This window comes from Homo sapiens, chromosome 2 (assembly GCF_000001405.40).
Source record: "Homo sapiens chromosome 2, GRCh38.p14 Primary Assembly".
NCBI classification, from domain to species: Eukaryota; Metazoa; Chordata; class Mammalia; order Primates; family Hominidae; genus Homo; species Homo sapiens.
The window spans coordinates 100,205,840-100,226,327 of record NC_000002.12 but is presented as its reverse complement, the minus strand read 5'-3'; the positions used below and the strand labels follow the sequence as shown (position 1 = coordinate 100,226,327).

Sequence of the window (20,488 nt, the reverse complement as noted above, 5' to 3'; positions counted from 1 at the left end):
TCTGTGTTATTCTGAACTTGAATCTATAACTATTTCAAAATTTTTAAATTGCTTTAAAAACAATCAGTAGGTAATTTACTTCTTTGGGTGAACTGAAGCTGGGGTGTGTGTGTGCAGGTGCACATGTATGCAACAGAGAACAGAGCCTCAGGTTTAGTATTTGTGATTTTGGGGTCCCATGGGGTTAACTGGCAACTCAATTGTTAGCCTCAACCCTTCCTGGATTCTGGAGAATGAGGACACTTAGAAGAAGTCCTCTTTGTCACTTCTCCCCTGCCAAACACTACTGATTCCAACATTTCACACAGCTATCTGCATCAATTCTAAAAAGCGAGATGTGGTCTAGGTGAGGCTTTTCCTGTCAATAGCACTTTTCTGTTGTTCTTTGACTTGATTTCTGTTGTTCTTGCTTTTTAATGGGAAAAATGGCTACACTGTGGTAGAAAATTGAATAGTTTATGAGTTTCAATACTCGTTAATAGATGTTAAGTGCTGTGACTTATTAAAATCCTAATAATTCTTCAGCGTGTAAAAATTAAGCATAGAACCTCTAACATGATCAACTTAATTGTGTGTGGTACTGATGCAGAAGGATGGTAACGGGGAATGCAGAGTGAAATCTTTATATTGTGTATTTGTAACAAAAAAGAGCTTGGCCAAAGCATTATCTGAAGAGAAACTTAATTAGACCATTGGAAACACAACAGAAAACATCGAGTCAGTAATTGTGAGCAGGAGTCCAAATTCTCCAGGCTCCTAAAGGAAATCTGTGATGTCTTTTGCTTCCTATGTGGATAACCTGGCATCCTCCCAGGGCTGATTTTTTTTTTAACTTAGTATCAGATTATAGTATAAACATTTCTCCGAGTCAATAAAACTCTTAATACACATAATTTGAGTGCCTTTATAATGCTTAATGGAGTAGAGGCATCATTATCTTCTTAACCATTAGGTATGTAGGCTTTCTTATTTTGTTTTTTTTTTTTTATATTCATGGTGTTTATTATGTTCTTATGTGATAGTCCCAGGAGAAATACCAGATGAGAAAGAATGAACATCTTGATGTAATATGGTGTATTTTTGTCTAGATTTTTTTTCCAAAGGTGTTGTGTAAATTTACATCCCTTAGGAGAGAGTTTACCCCAGGAAAGCCTTTCCAGAATCTAGTGGTGTATGCTTAAAGAGAAACATGTGCTAATTTAGTAACAGGAATGTGATATCCCATAGTTCTTTTAATTTGCTTTTTCTTGTTTGTTAGGTGGGTGAAACTTTTGCCCTGTGCATCTGTTAACAATTTAAAGTCGTTTTTGAAAATTGTTTGTGTCCTTTAACTAATACCTATGAATGATTTCATCTATTTTATTGACTCTAAAATTCCACTGAGGAGCCAAAATGTAATTTACTTCATCCTTTTTCTGCTGTTGGATATGGGTTGTTTATGAATTCCACTATTATCAATAGACTCTTGTATTCATGCAGTGGATGTTAAAAGGGTGGCTTTTGTGTGTCAGTCACTGTTCCTATAGCAGTGAACCGATTAGACAGAGGGACTGCCCTCAAGGAGTTCACACTCCCCTGTAGGCAGAAGAAACAGACCCTAAACAGAGAAGCACATGATATGTCAGCAGGAGCTGTGAAGCTCCTAGCAGTGCTGTGAAGAAAAATAAACAGGCTAAGGGGAATCAAGGGTGGTGGGGAGGTGGAGTCCAAGCTGTTTTATGGAGAGTATTTAGAGAGGGTCTGATTTATAGGAGACTAGAAAGAGATAGGGGAGCAAGCCAGCAGATATCTGGGGAGAAAGTACTATAGTCTGAGGATATAGACAGTGCAAAGGCCCTGAGGCAGATATTAGAGAAAGGACAGGAGGCCCATGGGCTGCTATGCAGCAATTTAGGATGAGGTCAGAGACATGGAAAGGATCCGATTTGACTGTAAGCAGATGGAAAGCCATCTTGAGGCTTAAGGCATGGAAGTGGTTGATACCAATGACATGGCTTTTTGTAAAAGCCTCCTCTGGCTGCTGTGTAGGGAAAGATGATAGAGGGGCACAGGGGAAGCAGAGCCCAGTGAGGCCACTGCAGTATTCCTGGTGAGGTTATGCTGGAGGTGGTGAAAAATGGTTGGATTCTAGACATAGTTTGAAGAATTGGCCGATGGGTTGATTGTCACATGTGAGAGAAAAAGAGAAGCCAAGGACAACTCAAAATTTTTTTGGCTTAAAGTACTACCATGTAGAAGTAGAAAATGGCACGTTGGCTCCAGAACTCTATTTTTGGATCTAGGAATTTTGAGACGATCCTTGAGCCAAGGGCAGCTGTGAAGTGGGCAGTTGGTGGGAGCCTGCCACTCCTGTAAGAGGCCTGTGTTGCAAATCCAAACCCAGTGGTCACGAGCAACTGAAAGTCATAGTACGTCCTAGGGAACGGGTTCGGAGGGGAGGAAGAGCTGAGAGCTGAGAACCATGCCCAGGGCACTCCATCAACCTCCATGTAGGACTGATGAAGAGGAAGCAGGCTAGGAAGCAGCACTGAGGTAGGAGGAGAGCCAAGAGATGTGGTGCCCAGGAAGCTAGGTGAACGAAACTGTTTCAAGGAAGAGATGGTGCGTTGGAGGAGGGCTGGAAACCGAGCATGTGGCTAAGCATGGGGACCTTGACAGAAGTTGACGTAGATGCAAATGAAGGTCAGGTTGGAGTGAACTGAAAAGAGATTCAAAGAGAAAGTGGAGATGGAGACTACAGACCACCATTTCGAGGAGTTTTACCATAAAGAAGAGCTGACAAATGGGGCTGTAGTTCACAGGGAATGAATAACAAGAGGGTTTCTCTTCCTTTTTTGTAAACTGGGAGATATTTCATTATGTCTGCTTGCTCCTGTAGAGAGGGGAGAAATTATGATTTGAGAAAAAGAGGGGACAACTGCTGGTGTGAAGCCCTTGAATAGGCAAGAGGGGACAGGACCAATGCCCAAGTGGAAGTGTGGGCTACAGTAGGCATATGATCAATTCCTCCATGGTAAGCAGGAACAGGCAGAGTACCTAGGTCTAGATTTAGGTGAGTTCCTAGATTTGTTGGTGGAAGCTTGCAGAAGTTCTTTTCTGGTTTCTTCTGTCTTTTCACTGGAATAAGAAGCAAGTTCATTGGCTGAGAGGATGGTTGGAGGCAAGGAGGGTGAAAATAGCTGTCAAGGAGAGCAGAGCGGGCACGTGAATGGATGAGGGGAGTTCAGGAGTGCTTAGGCACCACTTGAAACAAGTGGGCAGGATTTTTCATTCAGACCTGCTGGCTGGCTGTGTGGTTATAGTCAGCCCCATTCAGCTGCTCAGTTGCAGGTGTGAAGAGGGTTGGGTTTCATCATGATTGGGGATTTGCATGCAAGTGTAGTGCAGGGAAAGAGGGCCAGAAATTCTAAGGGATAAGCACAGGAATGATGGATCACACTGGAATCTAACCCTGGACAAAAAGGAGGCTAAAATTTAAAGGATCTACTACGATGTTCTTCATGAACATAGCTTCTTTCATATTCCCATCTTTAGACAAAAGAGTGACAGCAATAGAAGCACAAATGTACAATGTGCTTCAATGAGTGACCTATAGAAGCACAAATGTACAATGCTAAAAGTCTAAGAGAGATAAGTTGAAAAGCTAACTGCCTTATTAATTAGCTCCTAGTTAACTTCTTACTAACTTGATTCAGGAAAGTCTGAACTTTGCTAAGGCATCTTCTAGGAATAATGCATTTAAAAAGGAGAGTAATAAAACTCCGGCTTGGGGAAAGAAGAAGGTACATTTTCTCTTCAAGCTGCTTAACTAACATGGTGGCCTGGGCCTCACTCAGCCCATAAACTGGATCCAGGAGAGATTCTGTTATGCAGTTAATGAGGTTTTTAGGTACCACTGGCAGCTGCTTGAGTGATGAGCTGTCAGGTGGTGTAAATGACATTCTTACTCAACCTCCAATCCCTTCAGTGAACAAATAGCAAAGCTCCTGCCCTCATGTAGCTTACAGTCTAATGGGGAAGGAGGCAATAACAGAATTGAGAAGTAAGATACAAGGCAAGTAAGAGGATAGAGTGCTTTAGGGGTTGGGGTTGGGGATTACGCTGTAAATGGAGTAGTCATGGACAGCCTCACTTTGAAAGTGACATATAAATATCTGAAGAAAGTAAAGGGGTGAGCCTGTGAATATCTAGGGAAGAGTATTCCAGGCAGAAGGAACAGCAAATGCGAAGGGAGGAGCGTCCCTGGTGTTTTTAAGGAGACCACTGAAACCGGAGCAGGTGGAGAGGTGGAGCTCTCCTCTGGTCTGTGTGATGAGGATAAAGTTGGAGGTGAGAGAACAAGCAGAGAGAGCTGCAAGGTGATCCCTGCAGTCACCCAGGTGAGAGGCTATGGGGGCGTGGTCAGTGGGGGATGCCATCATGGCCCTTCACTGTCAGTTCTCATTCTACCTTTGCAGACCCCCTCAGGGAAGAGACCTATAGGACTTTGAGACAAGGAAAGTCTAAATAATTGAGGAAGTTTGACAAGGCCTCCCTTGAGAACTAACTTGGAGAACAAGAAAACAACAACAACAACAACAACAAAGAGTTTCTGCGTTCCAGGCAGGAAAGAAGTCAATAACCATAGTCCAAGAATGGGAGAACTTGGTTGGATTTCTTGATCCTTGCAACTTCCCCATATTTATTAGTTTGACACCCTCAGTGCATTTGCGGTGATTAGCAATAACAATGAAATGCCTCACAGAGATAGGAAGAGATTGGGAAGTCAAGCAAGTGGAAACTTTCTTTGCAGCCAGGCTGGAGTGGAAAATAACTCACAAGGAACTGGGACCATGGTGACAACTCTGGAAGGCTCTGATGCAATGGGGTGGGGAAGGTGCTTATTGTTGATGACAACTTTCTAGAGGCCTCTGAGCTATCCAAAAGTGACAGAAAACAAGGACATTGTTTAATGCTTTTCCTGAAAGATGACTATCTCCAAGAAGCCACATAATATCACCTAGCCATCTCCATCTTCAGAGAAGTGCCACCAGCATCTGAATTAACACCTGTTGCACTTTGTGTTGGGCTGCAAAATGATGGGAATTTAATTTCATCACACTTTTGCTAATTCACAAGCTCATATTTTGGATCAAATGGTTCAGGGAGTTCAGCTCACTCAAGAAAAGTTTCTAGATGACCCAACCACAATCTAGTTGCTTAGAAGAAGAAAAGACTGAGCCACAGGTATCAACTCAATAGAGTTTTTGACTTTTACCTCCAACAGTGTTCACTCTTAAAGGTGACTTGATTCTCTTAAGAGCTTCCCAGTCAAGAAGAAATAGAAAAAATCTAAATAGACTAATAACAAGAAGAGAGATTGAGTTATTAATCAAAAAGCTACCCACTGAGAAATATCCAAGTCCAAACTCTTACTGGTGAATTCTACCGAACATTTGAAGAAAAATGAATGCCAATTCTTTAAACACTTTTCCAAAAGACAGGAAAGGAGGGAACACTTCCCAACTCATACTATGAGGCCAGTATAACCCTAATACTAAGGCCAGACAAAGACATCACAAGAAAAAAAGCTACAGACCAATATCTCTTATGAATACAGATGCAAAAATTCTCTGCAAAATACTAGCAAACTGAATCCAGCAACATGTAAAAAGGATTATGAACCATGATCAAGTAGTGTTGTATTAGTTGGTGTTCTCCAGAGAAACAGAGTCAATAGGATGTGTATATATACATCTGTATGTATACGTAAAAAGATATTTATTATAAGGAATTAACTCAGGTGGTTCTGGAGGCCAAGAAGCCCAGACCCAGGAAAGCTAATGGGATAGATCCAGTTTGAGTCTTAGTCCAGATGTCCCAGCTCAAAGACAGTGAGGCAGAAGAGAGAATTCTCTGCTGGGCATGGTGCCTTGCACCTGTAATTCAAGGCACTTTGGGAGGCTGAGGCAAGTGGGTCACTTGAGGCCAGGAGTTTGAGACCAGATTGGCCAACATGGTGAAGCCCTGTCTCTACTGAAAATACAAACATTAGCCAGGCATGGTGGTGTATGCCTGTAATCTCAGCTACTCGGGAGGCTGAGGCATGAAAATCACTTGAACCCAGGAGGTAAAAGTTGCAGTGAGCCAAGGTTGCGCCACTGCACTCCAGCCTGTGCAACAGTGCAAGACTCTGTCTTAAAAAAAAAAAAAAGAGAGAGAGAGAGAGAGAGAATTCCCTCTTACTCAGCCTTTTGTTCTATTTAGGCCTTCAGCAGATTGGATGAGGCCCCCCCACAGTGGGGAGGGCCATCTGCTTTAAGGGGAGGAGCCTCTGGTCAAGATTACAACTACAAGTGGCCCCATTAAAGATAGTGATGTGATTACTCCCAGCAGGTTCACAGATCCATGCAAGTTACCCTGGGTTCTTGTGGGAAACCGCTCCTTTCAGACCACATCCCTTTGCCACAGGGTTGTCCTTAAGGATCCACAAGCAAACAGCTCCCTAGCAATTGAATTTGGGGAAACCAAAATGCCTCCCCAGCCTCAAATGAGTCCCCTAATCCCTCATTCAAAGAACTTTAGCAAATCAGATCAAAGTTTTGTTTCCTGTAACTAAGAAAATGTCCCCACGAGAGACATTTACACTTTGGTAATGAATAAAGTTATACCCATTTCATGCTATACATGGATGAAAATGGAGAGAGGTTGGGTACCTCTGAGGACCTAAAGATAATCTAGGAAGCAAAGGGTGATGAAAAGGAAGAGTTTTTGATTCTCAGTGTTGGCTTTGGCCCCTCTAATAGTCAATCAAAAATAAAGGAAGATCCCTTATCCTTGGATAAAGCTTTTCAGTTGATAATGCCTGTGCATGATCTCATTTGGTCTTTATAAGTAGCTCATAGAAGTAAACATGAATGTGATTCCCATTTTCAGGGAAAGAAAGTAGAACATAAAGATAATGATCACCCAAGGCCACCCTGCTATTAAACAGTAGAGCTAGGACCTAAGCCCAGGTCTCTAAATTCCAAATCATGGATTCTTTCAACTACCCTGATGTGGAAGGAATTTGTCTATTTTTCCCCAGATAGAGGTTTTAAATCACAGCTGATACCCTTTAATATGAGACAACAATTGTTTAAAAAATAATTTTCAAGGAGTTTCTTAGATCGACTGAAAACTGAGGAGAAGAAGAGTGACAAGCACTCCTTTTATAAATTCATCATTAGAATGCTTAAGTTGATCTCTTGCCCCGAAAGACTGCACCCTATAGAGGATGTGTAAATTGCTATGCCATGAGCCTGTGTTTGAGAATTTGCTGTTTTAATTCAGGCCCTTGATGCAGCGATTGGGTTCTGACAAATGAATTAAGGAGAGTTTCAGAACTGGCCTTTGCTGGAGGGAGGAGGGGTTTGATTGAATTATTCTAAATCCTAGGAGACATGCTAGTGATATTAGCATTTGTGCTGCTCGGAGTCAACAGGAATCTGCCTTACCCAAGAGTACCTGTGTTGGTGGCCTGAAAGTGGGTCAGAGATTTTTTTTAAGATAAACATTCTTCTATTTCCATATTAAACAGTATGTAGGTCATTGCGTACCAAAGGGCTCAGTTGACGTTGAAGCTGAAAGAGTCAGAATTGTACATCTTTCTGCTACACAGGGTTGTGGTGGCTGAGCAAGTGGTTGTTTTTGATGCAGTAGGTGGGGTGCAGTGGAGATGAATGGGAAAAGAGAGGAAGGAAGAGCATGCCAGCCTCAGATCTCCTCTCTGAGAATCAGAGACCTTGGAAGGTAAAGCAGGACAAGCATGGGGTCTCCAAGGCAGGGCACTTTGATAGAAAAGAAACCTTCAACCCTCATGAGCAAACATGAACGGCACCCCCAGATCACAGGAGGCCTTGGTCACCCCTCTGTCCTTCTCCTCTGGCTAGCTGGGGGACCAGGAGCAGGCCTGCCTTGAGTCTGATGAGGTGTGCATTGAGTTGGGGGTGCTGCTGAGGCAGGAACTGCACATTGTTCAATCAGTTGCATTAACAATGAGATTTGGAATCTTTGCACCTTCTGTATCTTGTAGCCCTGACACAAAACCTGGGGTGCCCCACCCTGTTTAGGACTCTGGCACTGGGGACAACAGATGGGATTGAAGGATCACCTCCACTCTTGCTAATTAGTTTTTCTATGATATTGGGGTTTCTTGCCTGCTTCTATTAAAACACTCCAGTTAGAGAAAAGCCTTTCTGGGAAACAAAGGGAGGTGTGTCATCGTATTTGTATTGAGACATCTGGGGATGCTTTGAAACATACACCTTAAAAGAGTCATACTTCCAAGGCCTGAAAAAGAACAAGCGTGTGAAGTGACCTTGACCATGCAACTTCTTTTCCCTGACCTCAATTTCTTCATCAACTGATGAACTGTTGAACTCAACAAGGATATTTGTGCTTGCTGATATAATGACTGGAGGATCCCTTAAGGACACTATTCTGCTTAGGAAAGCCTGGAATATAAGGATGTTAGAGAGATACTGGTCAAGACCTTGTGCTAAGGCTGATAGACGACCGCAGTAAGGACTCTGCATCCCAGCAGGGCTGCTGAAGCCCTGGCCACGGGGAATGGGCTTTTCTAACACCAATTCCTAAAGAAGACCTTAGTTCACTACACCTGGTTTACCTTTCACCAATGGGACCAAGACCCAGCTCTCAAAGTGAATGTGTCTAACACTTGTGAGCAGCTCTTGGGGCAGAGCTGGCGTGGACACATCTGAGGGACCATCCCGGCTCCAGAGCTTCCTGCGAGGTTGGCTGAGGCCTTCGCTGGGCATCACAGCCCAACTTCTCACCCTCCCAATCCCACCTCCTTCTCCAGTGTTGATCCTGAGAGCCCAGAGGAACTCCAACAGCGGAGATGGGATTGCGGATCAGACAAAAAGGAAGAGGTTGGACTGGATGACCACTGAGGTGTCCTGAGGCTGTGATGCTAAGTCTGTATTCACAACCTCAAGGGGGTCTGGACTGCTAACTAATATGACAGATTCCTGAGCGCTGCCTTGGCCAGCCCCACTGACCTGCATTTTTAGCAAGCTCCAGGACCATTCACCCAACCACTAAGGGAGAGCAGCTGCCTTAGAAGGAAATCCTTGTGGTCTTGACTCCAGCATAGCTACAAGGCAGGTCGGTTCTTCTTGGTTAATATTTTAATTTTACTTTTAAATTTTTACTTATTTATTTTCTTGAGACTGGGTTATGAGACTGGCTGATCTTTGTATTTTTGGTGGAGACAGGGTTTCACCATGTTGTCCAGGCTGGTCTTGAACTCCTGGCCTCAAGCAATCCACCTGCCTCGGCCTCCCAAAGTGCTGGGATTACAGGCATGAACCATCATTCCTGGCTGCGAAAGTTCTGAGTCATCTGAGGTCACTGTGGAATTTGGCTGACGGTCTTCTGGGCGTAAAGGAAGAGGGCTGGGGGCACTGGGGAGCTGTATCTTTCACAGAAGCAACTGTCATTTGAGGGAATATCAGCACCCACTGCCACCTCTTCTTGGTCCAGCACGCTGTCCTCACCTCTCAGAGTGAAGTGACCTCCAGGTTTGAATGGTTTTGCTATTCACGTTTCCTGCAAGGTCTGTTACTCCAAACAGATTTTTCTGGAGAGGTAATTTACATAGGTTATATCGAAAAATACAAGGGTCAGAGATTATTTGCAACTTTCAAGTGCAATTATCCAAGGATGTTGATACTCATCCAAAAAAAGAGAAAAACCTCTAATCGGCTATTAAATATTTATAGGTCATTTTATTATTAATTTATTTCGGCAGGAACTCAGGAAAGCACCCACATTTTATAGCTGACCTAATCATTCAGAGCTAACCCTGGCCACACAAAATGAGCATGAATCATATCATGAAATTCTGCAGCAAAAAAACTCAAATCTCAGCTTTACAGTTTTCTTAATTACCATTTGAGCTGGCTTCCAGCTTTGCACCCAAACACACTTTCTCTCTGGTCAGTCCTTGCTTCGACAAGACCATAGCTAGGGCAGCATGCTGCAGAGAGAGGCATGAGGCTTTGCACACAGAGCTCCAGCACTGGGTAGCCCTGTGGCCTGGGCAAGCTACTTGACCTTTCTGAGCCTCACCTTCCTCATCTGTAAAATAGAGCCACTAAACTCCTTCCTTTGCAGGTTTCTTGTAGGGCTTAGATGAGACGGAGTCTCCTAGCACATAAGACGGGCTGAAGCACCTATCCAGCGGGACTGGAAATGCCTGAGTGCACAGTAAACAGTCAGATACATCCTCCTGCTCGCAGTTTTAGGCAGAATTAAATAAATGCCCAGAGCTGGGGCAATGGCAGGGAAGAGGCTGTGAGGGTCCTCACTGCCTAGTCAGTGAAGGAGAAACAGCAAATGACAGGACAAGGAGACAAGGCTAAGCACCAAATGAGCAGCAAAGATAAATACTCCAGAATTATTACTGCAGAAGCACATGATCTGGAAGGCCCAGGATGGCTTTCGAGAGCAGAGGCTCTCAACCTCGGCCACACAGTGGCATCCTCTGAGCAACCTAAACAAGGTGCCAAGACATGAGTCCTGCTCCCTGTGACTCTGATGGAATCTCTCTGGGGTACAGCCCAGGCATTTGTGTTTCTGGAAGTCTCTTGCTTATTCCAGCGTGTAGCCAGGTGGGATCTGCTGCGCTAGAGGAACGTGACCTGAAAACAGCACTTACTTACTCCGACATCTGAACAGCACTTGGCCATTTCCAAGCACTTTCACGTGCATGGCTCAGGAGACCCAGACTGGTGGGGGAAGGGGAGGAGTTTGGACCAAGGCCTGGAGGGCTATGTGACAGTGATGTTTCCCTTCCAGAGACTTCTGGGTCTATTCCTTGGGTTCTGTGGTCACAAAGCTATCAAAGTCACCATTTCACTTCTTCCTTAGAGAGAAAAAACAGTTGTCCCTTAAAACAGGTAAATAGCCTTCGATAATGGGTGGAAATAGCTCCAAGTCTTTGCAGCTCATACCATTTGAGGTGCTCCCTCAAGCAAAGGATACAAAATTACAAATACAAAAACCTTAAGCTTCATTAGCTTTAGGCTAGATCAACCCCTGAGACGGGGGTCACACGCACTTCACCCCTCGCCAGGTTAGATAATGTGCCCAAGGTCCCATGGCCAGTGGCGGGTAGGACTGGCATTGGAGTCCAGGTCTGACTCTGTAACCTCTTCATGGCTACTGGGAACCCCAGTATCAGTCCTATCAGAGTCACTAAAACGTTTTTATTTGAATATTGATCCCACAGTGGAAGTTAAACTTGTCTGAGCCCTGACCAACTGTTCGTCTCCATCTGTAGGTACTGTCCCATAAGTGCTTCCTAGGAAGGGGGCCAGGAAAACCTCTACCGCCAAGGCCCACCCTTGCACAGCAGCCCCCAGGCAACGTGCCAAGGACTGCAAGGGGAAACCTCTAGTGTGGCTCCAGCCAAAAGAAGGACGTTTATGGGCTGGCCCTGCCAGAACATTTTCTGGGATTTAAAAACAGAGCTGGAACTAAGTCCTTTTAGGGAGGCAGGAAGCCAGTGCAGGAGTTGCTGCTGGCAGAAGAGAGCCTGGGGCCACGAGGAGCCCGCCTGGGGCTGGCAGAGAGTGAGAGAGAGAAGCCCAGGGATGGGATGGGGTAGGGGAAGAGCCAAGGGGCCACCGCAATCCTGGGAACGCAGGCCAACCCCAGTGGTGGGGAGCAGAATAATCAGTGTCCAGCCACCTCCACTCAGCCTGTTGGCCTTAAATGTCCTTTCATCCTTGCAGAGGGGAGGTACCTGCTCAGAGTCCATGGATCAGGGTTCAGCTGCCAACTCACACTTCCACACCCTTACCCTGACTTTACACAAGGTTGTTTGTCTCTTTTGGCCCAGGTTTTTCATCTGAAAAATGAGGAGATAATTATAGCTTCCTTGCATGGTGGTTGCAATGACCAGAGAGGAAGTATGCAAGAGATTAGGCATGGATTAAGGCCTCAGTGAACCACAGCTACGCTTGCGACACTAGCTTTTTAGAACATTTTATTTATTTTGAATGAATGAGGAGTACCATTGCTTACTCTCACAGTGAAATAGACACAGAGAACTTCAGGGTGGAAATGGGGACCTTGAGACTCCCAGAATCACCACAGCCTCTAGAATTTAGGGGCCTGCAGATGGTCAGTGGTGGAGAAAGCCTGGTGGATTGGCTGGCCTCAGAACTCCAGAGAGCCCATGGTTGAGGGTGACTCTGTTAACTGAAGGCCTGCCTACTGGCAGCCTCCAGTTTGGATTTTAGTGACAGCCCATGAGCCTCAGGCTAGGAATGCTGGCTGCAGTGGGCTTGGTCAGAATGCATGGCTCCCATGCTAAGCCACAGTAGACAAGTCATGGTGAGGCTTATGGGACCTTTTCTGCTCTTAAAAGGAGAGGATTCTTTCTGGCATCTCATTATAGGCTGTACTGATGAGAGGTGCCAGAGTGAGCCGGGTGGGCTGGTGTCCAGACCTGGCTCTGCTGTCGGCCAAGTGTGTGACCTGGAGATGGCATTTCCCCCTGCTGAGGTCCAAGAGGCCTCATTAGCCAAATGGAGGTGTGGCCTGGATGACCTCCAAGCTGCTCATGCACTTTATTGCACCTATTGCAATAGTCCATGAAATTACATCTAATAAACTAACTTTGGCTCTATTATCAAGCAATAAGTACAGTCAACGAATAAATGAATCAATCAACCAGGCATGAAAAGGGGACGCATTAAAGGTTTAATGTGGTTCTAAACACTTGGGGGCATTCAAGAAAACTTTGCTGACAGTTAACTCTCAGCCTCTCAAGAATCTACAGTACAGCTGGCATCCAATGTCCCACCCACGGCAGTGTCCTCTCCCAATTCTATCACCCATGTCTTTGTTTGAAACTCTCCCGTGCACACTGATCTTGGTCTCTAAATGCCATTTCCATACACAAGAAATCTGGGCTGCTTAGAGAAATGGCTGATTCCAGGACTGGGACAGGAAAGAACAAGATTGACCTGGATCATCTTGTAATGCCAGAAAGTAAGGAAGTACTCAAAGAATGCTGGGGACATGTTCAAAGGACTCAGGAGACAGAAGCCAGCTTGAAAGGGCTCCCACTGACCAAACATGGGACAATTTAGAGCATCTAAACAAGTCCTGCCAGTAATATATTTTAAGCCATTAAAATAATAAGATTCCTCAAGTCCATGCCTGCATAAATACATAGCCACCACTGGGAAAGCAGTCACGTGTGGTCTGTGCATCACTCTCAGCTGTGGAAGATGGGCCTTGGGCCTGGAACATTTTCTTATGGGAAGATAAAGAGCCTGCATAGCCTGTGCTGGGCTTATCACCTGGGAGGGGATATCGTTCCCTGTTACAAATTCCATGTGCACTCCTGTGTTCTGCTTCAGTGTGTGATCTGATGGCTGTCAGACACATCCCCAGCTTTTTGCATTTCAGATCCTACGTGGGGAAGAGTTGGGGTCCATGAAGTGGGTTGTGTGTGATCACACTGTGGAGTGTGGACCCACCAGCCATGGGGTCCAGCGCAATGCAAGGGGCTAGATCTTGTGTGCACGCTGCCTCTCCCCTGGCTGCAAGTCATCGCTGGGCCACTCGAGCCAGGTGTGCATGTTGTCTGTTCTCAAAGACCTCAAATCCTGTCTGGTGTCTTCCCCGGGGGACACTTATCTACTTTTTAACATCGGCCATATGCACATTATATTCTATCTTGCAGCCCAGCCTGATGACCTACTGAACAGGGAAATACCCTCAGATATACAGCAGAGGGAAAGCTCTTTCTTACAGTCAATCACCAACTAATACATGTTGAATAATGGAGTTAAAAAAGAATGATGGAGTTTTTTTTTTATCAGCATTTTGCAATCATCATGGTAATAATTGAATCAGGCAAATAATCAGCAATTTTGCTAAAATGGTGGGGTGAAACTTTGATGAAGGCTATGGCAATAAATACAAAAGGAAAATTGGTAAATTTAACAGATAAGAAACCTTCACCAAATAATCAGAATTAATATCACCAACAATGGGACAAGCTGACATCAGGCACTAATACATTGAGAAGGACAATATCAACATGAATTCCTGAATTTGGTCATTGTATAATGCTATGGCAGATACTTAAGGTGGTCCTCATGATCCCACCACCTGGTGTTCTTTTTTGAGATGGAATCTCGCTGTGTCACCCAGCCTGGAGTGCAGAGGTGCAATGTCGGCTCACTGCAACTTCCGTCTCCCAGGCTCAAGCCTCCCAAGTAGCTGGGATTACAGGCACCCACCATCACGCCCGGCTAACTTTTGTATTTTTAGTATAGATGGGGTTTCATCATGTTTGCCAGGCTGGTCTCAGACTCCTGACCTCAAGTGATCTGCCAGCCTTGGCCTTCCAAAGTGCTGGGATTACAGGCATGAGCCACTGCACCTAGCCCATCTGGTGTTCTTGACTTGTGTGACACCCTTCCCTTGAGAAGGGGCAAGACCTATGACTTTCTTCTAACCAATAGATTATGGCAAAAGTGACTAGAGGTCTGCAGTTATGTGCACATCATTACATGATTGTGTTACGTAACATTGTAGCCGCTTCCTGCTGGCGTCTCTCACTTTCTTGCTGGTTTTGAAGAGTCAAGCTTCCATGCTGTGGGTTATCTGTGATGGGAGGCACTGAGGGTGTCCTCTAGGAGCTGAAAGCAGCTTCCAGCAGAGATACCACAAGGAGCTGAAGCCCTCAGTCCTACAGCTGCAAGGACTGAACTCTGCCAAGACAGGCAGATTCTTCCCCTGGCAAGCCTCAGATGAGACCCTAACCCTGACCCACCCTTGATTACAGCCTTGTGCAACCCTATACAAAGAACCCAGCTAAGCCATACCCAGGCTACGGGATAATCCCACTGAAACTAAGGGATAATAAATGAGTGTTGTCTTGAGCTGTTAGGTTTGTGGTAATCTTTAATGCAGTAATGGAAAATGAGAGTGAATGTGTTCTGTAACAGAATGTCCTCACTTATGGAAAATGCATCCTGAAGTATGTAGGGAATCATCATAACGACAACTTTGAAAAGGCTCAGCAAAAAATAAATAAAATAACATAAAACTATATATGTTCACAGAGAGAGAGAGAGAGCCTATGTGGCAAAATGTGAACATTTTGTGAATCCACATAAAGGATATATAGGAGTAATTACTGTAGTTTTTCTATGAGTTTGAAATTTTTCTAAGTAACAAGCTCACTCCTGTAATCACAGAACTTTGGGAGGCTGAGGCAGGCAGATTGCCTGAGGTCAGGAGTTTAAGACCAGCCTAGACAGCATGGTGAAACCCTGTCTCTACTAAAAATACAAAAGTTAGCTGGGCATAGTGGTGGGCACCTGTAATCCCAGCTACTTGGAAAGCTGAGGCATGAGAATCACTTGAACCCAGGAGGCGGAGGTTGCAGTGAGCCAAGGTTGTGCCATTGCACTCCAGCCTGGGCAACAGAGTGAGACTCCGTCTCAAAAGAAAAGAAAAGAAAAGAAAAAAGAAAAGCTCTGCCCCAATCTCATGAAAACCCATTGTCCTGAACACCATCACATTCTCAGACCAGTCTATATTCCACTGTGTTGGAAGGAGTAGACACTGAGGCATCCACAATTTCTGATTTTTGATGTCTTCCCAACTACACTCTCCCCCAGCCTGACCTTGGGAATAACTGACACAATCATCATCTCTTTGTTAACATTTTGTATGTATTGTTGTTTCTTTTGGTTTTGAAAACATGTACCTTTGATTTTATCATTTCCTACCTTTTCTTGCAAGTAAGAGGTAAATTAATCTTATGCCTGATATCCTGTGTTTTGGCATTTTGAACTTGAGCTTGCACTTGACTGTCCATGCTACTACTCATTTGTGTTTAAGGGTTGTGGGTTGGAAAGTTCATCTGAGGCACTTTAGTGAAACTAGAGCACCCCATTATTTGCAGTGTCCCCAAGAGAAGGAAGCATGACTTCAACATTTTTAAATGCACAATTCCTGTAAAAAGTCAGTTGGGTTTTGGAAGAAATGGTCTATTTGATGTGATGGCTCATGATTGTGGTGAAGGTTTAGATCACGTATTGGCTCAGGTGCCCCAGGGGACTTGCTCTGAATGGTCCCCAGACCCTAATCAGATATTATGCAAATTTTGCTCTTGAAGACTTGGTCTGAGCAAAGATTTTTTGAGTAAGATTGCAAAAGCATAGGCAACAAAAGCAACGATAGACAAAGGGGGTAACATCAAGCTAAAAATCTTCTGCACAGCAAAGGAAGCAGTCAAGAGAGTGAAGCAACAACTCACGGAATGGGAGAAAATATTTGCAAATTACCCATCCTACAAGGGGTTAATCACCAGAATATGTAAGGAACTGAAACAACTCAATAGCAAAAAAATAATAAAAATAATCAGATTTTAAAATGAGCAAATGACCTGAAAAGACATTCCTCAAAAGAAGATATACAAGTGGCCAACAGGCATATGAAAAAATGCTCAACATCACTAATCATTAGGGAAATGCAAATCAAAACCACAATGAGATATCATCTCACCTCCATTAAAATGGCTGCTATCAAAAGACAAAAAAATAACAGATGCTGGTGAAGATGTGAAGAACGGGCAATGTTTGCGCACTGTTGATGGATGGAATGAACATTTGCGCACCCACTGTGGATAACAGTATAAAGGTTCCTCAGAAACCTAAAAATAGAACTACCATATGATTCAGTAATCCCTCTGCTGGGTAGATATCCAAAGAAAAGGCAATCAGTATGTTGAAGAGATACCTGCACTTCCACGTTCTTTGTAACACTGCTCACAATAGCCAAGATATGGAATCAACCTGTGTTCATCAATAGTTGAATGAATAAAGGAAATGCAGTATGTATATACAGTGGAGTACTATTCAGCCACAAAAAAAAGAATGAAATCCTGTCATTTGCAGCGGCATAGATGGAACTGAAGGTAATTATGGTAATTGAAATAAGCCAGGCACAGAAAGACAAATATAGCATGTTGTCACTCATATGTGCAAGCTAGAAAAAGTTGACCTCATGGAGGTAGAGAGTAGAATGATAGTTATTAGGGGCTGGAAGGGTAGAGGGTAGAAGGGGATGAAGAGAGGTTGGTTAATGAATACAAACATACAGTTAGATAGAAGGAATATGTTCTAGGGTTCGATAGCACAGTAGGGTGACTACAGTTAACAATGACATATTGTATATTTCAAAATAGCTAGAAGAGAAGATTTGGAATGTTCCCGACACAAAGAAGTGATACATGTTTGAGGTCTTGGATATCCCAATTACCCTGACTTAATACGCATTGCATGCATGTATCAAAATATTACATATAGTCCATAAATATGTACAACTATTACATATCAGTTTAGAAATAGGTGACAGCCAAGGAAGAAGGGCCTCCAGAGAGCCCGATGGGCCAGGACTGTGTGAGTAAATGAGCTTCCTGAGATTACCTGAGCCTTGGTGCGTTCATCTGCGAGTAGGCCTCTTTCCTGAAGAGAGAATGGAGACTGAAGGGTCTGTGCCGCTCCAGGTGATGCAGACAGAGCCCGCCGGGGCAGCGCTGGCCACTCTCCCCCCACTTTCTGCTGTGCACCATGCTGACTCAGCCACAGGTCTGCCCCCAGGACACTGGGCCCTAGGGAGTCTCTGAGAAGCAGTCATTGGTCTTTCAGCTCATTATGAGCCAATGGCTGGCGTGCTTGTCTCGTGGAAATAATTCCTTTATTCCCAATGCTCCAGTTTTCTGATGGCTTAACCACATGGATGGGTGTTCCTTTCTTTTCCTGGACAGACGATGGCATCGTAGCACTTCCTTAGCATACAAAGCACCCGCAGCATCTTCCCTTGTTTGATTGGATCAGACATGCTGGAAGAGTCTGAGGTTTAGGGTTTTGCTTCTAGTTCTGGATGAAACAGATGAACGCCATAATCCCTATTTTTCCTAAAAGGGAGACATGAAAATCTTGCGTTTATACTAAAAAGTGTTCCCATCTCATTGAAATTCAGGCTTGAACTATCCACCCTGAACACGTCCAGAAGCCCTTTCTCTAATTCTGGAAGCAGTGATCTCGGGAGAGAAGTTTTCCATCTGTCTCCTTATGATGCTAAGCTGTTAGTGCAGTTCATTATTTATTACATCTCCTGCTTTATGTTAAGCCATGATCTTCTTTTTTGCCATGTATTAAGAATTCAGTCGGGTTGGTATAAAAATAGGGTTGTTATCTGTGTCTCCAGACTGACTTTTGAACAGCATATTTTTTGGGGTAGGGGAGGTGGTTATAATTATTCCCAAACTACTTTCATTCTTATCCAATACTTAATATTGACTCTGGCTATTCACTATAATACTGCTTCTTATCAGACATGTGCGTGGCCGGAGTGGCAGTAAAGAGATACGTCTTCCGAGGCCCTGCATGTGTCTGTAGGGCTGGAGGACATTTGCTCCCAGAGGCAGAGAGATGACATGGGAGAATGTCAGCATATCAAGGCACAGCATCTCACAGTCATAGCAAATCCGGTCTCTGAATAGGCAGTTTGTGGCATGTGCTTTTAAAATACAAACTAACAGACACAACAACTGGCATTCCAAACATCTCCTGGTCCTCCAGGGCAGATGGTGCCAAGGCAACGATGTACTTATCAGAGCTAAGCTCCCCAGGCTCATGTGGGGAAGGGAGCTCTGGACTCTAACTCCCTCTTTGCCATCAGGGTTCAGCTCCCCCTTTTCAGCCCCGGGCCAGGCTGTCTGCAGCTAATGGGCAGAGGGAATCCTGGCCTACCAGCCTGCAGGGACATAGCTGAGTGCACCGCCATGGGGCAGGAAGGCAGTCCTGCACAAGACAGCCCCATGAGGGACAGAAGGAGGAAGGCACTGACACCATGGCCCCCTCTTTCCCCCAGTCCAGTCGTTATTGTCAACTCTCTTCTTGGTAACCCCTGGCCCCTCATGTCCTGCTCACAGAGGCTCAGGGGTGGTGAAATTGCCTCAAAGGGTGGTTATTTTATTGAAATAGAATCAGATCATTTTCCATCCAGCATCTTGTTTGTAGAAATATCCTATTAGACACAGAAAGGAAAAGATCAGTATCTTTTACACCATAATTAAAATATCACTTTTCTCAATGAAACATTATCTAGATTATCTCACAAAACAGCATTGCTTACAACATTGCTTACAAGCCTTATAAATGTGAGGCTGCCAGCTAGAACACTATAGAAAATGTTAGTTATTGCACCATCTCCCACAGTTGTTCTTTTGATGTGCTGGCTTGGAATAAACAGACTTATCTTTCCTGTCATACAACACTGTCCTTAATTTAATGGAGATGTTATTAAGATAAAATCTCTATTCAATTCCATATTGTACCATATTAACACACACAATTAGTAATGCTTTATCAGTTATGAAGAAAGATGATGACTGCTTTTAAGCTAAATTACCTTTATCATGGTAGCACATGAAAGAAGCGACAAATATTTATCCGAGTGTATGTTAATTCTTATTTAATTTTAACGCTGCTTTTATCAACCAAATTAACCAATGAATTTTATTAAAGGGAATGTTATAGAAAAGAGCTTCCAACACTCTCTTCCATCTGTTTTTATTTATATAATTTTGATGGTTTCTTTTTCTCTTTCATTTCATTTCTAATTAAGAGGAACACGTGGAAAATTGAACATTTGGGCTTAATTTTAACAGAATTTGGAATAATTAGAAGCATGTTCTTGTTAATATAAAGATTGTGAGTGTTGGGATTGCAGGGCTTACATCTGTGCATTTAAACCCCCTCCCACAAGGCATCTTGCTCAGTAAATCTCAAGAGGTGATGGGGGCATCGTAACATGGAAACATAATCTCACCTTAGTGATTTTACACTTAGGGAAGCCAAGCAATTCCTTTTTACAGTTTTAGAAATGCAAGTAGAATGTGACAGCAAGACGCATCTTACAATTCAGGTTGGAGCATTCTCCTCAGCAATATATAAACCTTGCTTCCCTTGGCCCTGGAATCACCCAGGAACTTGTAATGTGTGATTCTAATTGTGGATGGCACACACAGATGGGAGAGACTGAAATCAAGGAAAGCTCTCCTCCTTGGACTATGACTTTTTTTGACTTAAACTTTCTTGACCTTTTTTTTTCTCCCAAGGTGAGATATCAAGTATAGTAGCAATGTCATTGGGAATGCATACACCCTCAGGTAACAATCTGCAATCAGAAGGGACATACTTATCCTATCTTAGGGCATATTCAAATTTGAATTATGCTAGTTTTGTTTTTTTGTTTTTGAGACAGGGTCTCACTCTGTCACCCAGGCTGGAATGCAGTGGCACAATCATGGTTCACTGGAGCCTTGACCTCCCAGGCACAAGCACTCCTCCTGCCTCAGCCCCTTAAGTAACTGGGACTACAGGCATGCAACCACCATGCC

The 20,488-nt window shown here is 44.0% G+C and overlaps 1 long non-coding RNA gene across 1 annotated transcript in view; it reads right to left on the bottom strand.

Annotated features, from left to right (window-relative positions):
• LINC01104 (long intergenic non-protein coding RNA 1104) overlaps nucleotides 1-18,074 on the bottom strand; it is a 43,231-nt gene extending 25,157 nt beyond the window's left edge. Inside the window, exon 1 of the long non-coding RNA NR_103730.1 lies at nucleotides 17,508-18,074. This is a non-coding gene — a long non-coding RNA (long intergenic non-protein coding RNA 1104). The remainder of the gene's footprint in view (nucleotides 1-17,507) is intronic.
• Between the last annotated feature and the right edge of the window lie 2,414 nt (nucleotides 18,075-20,488).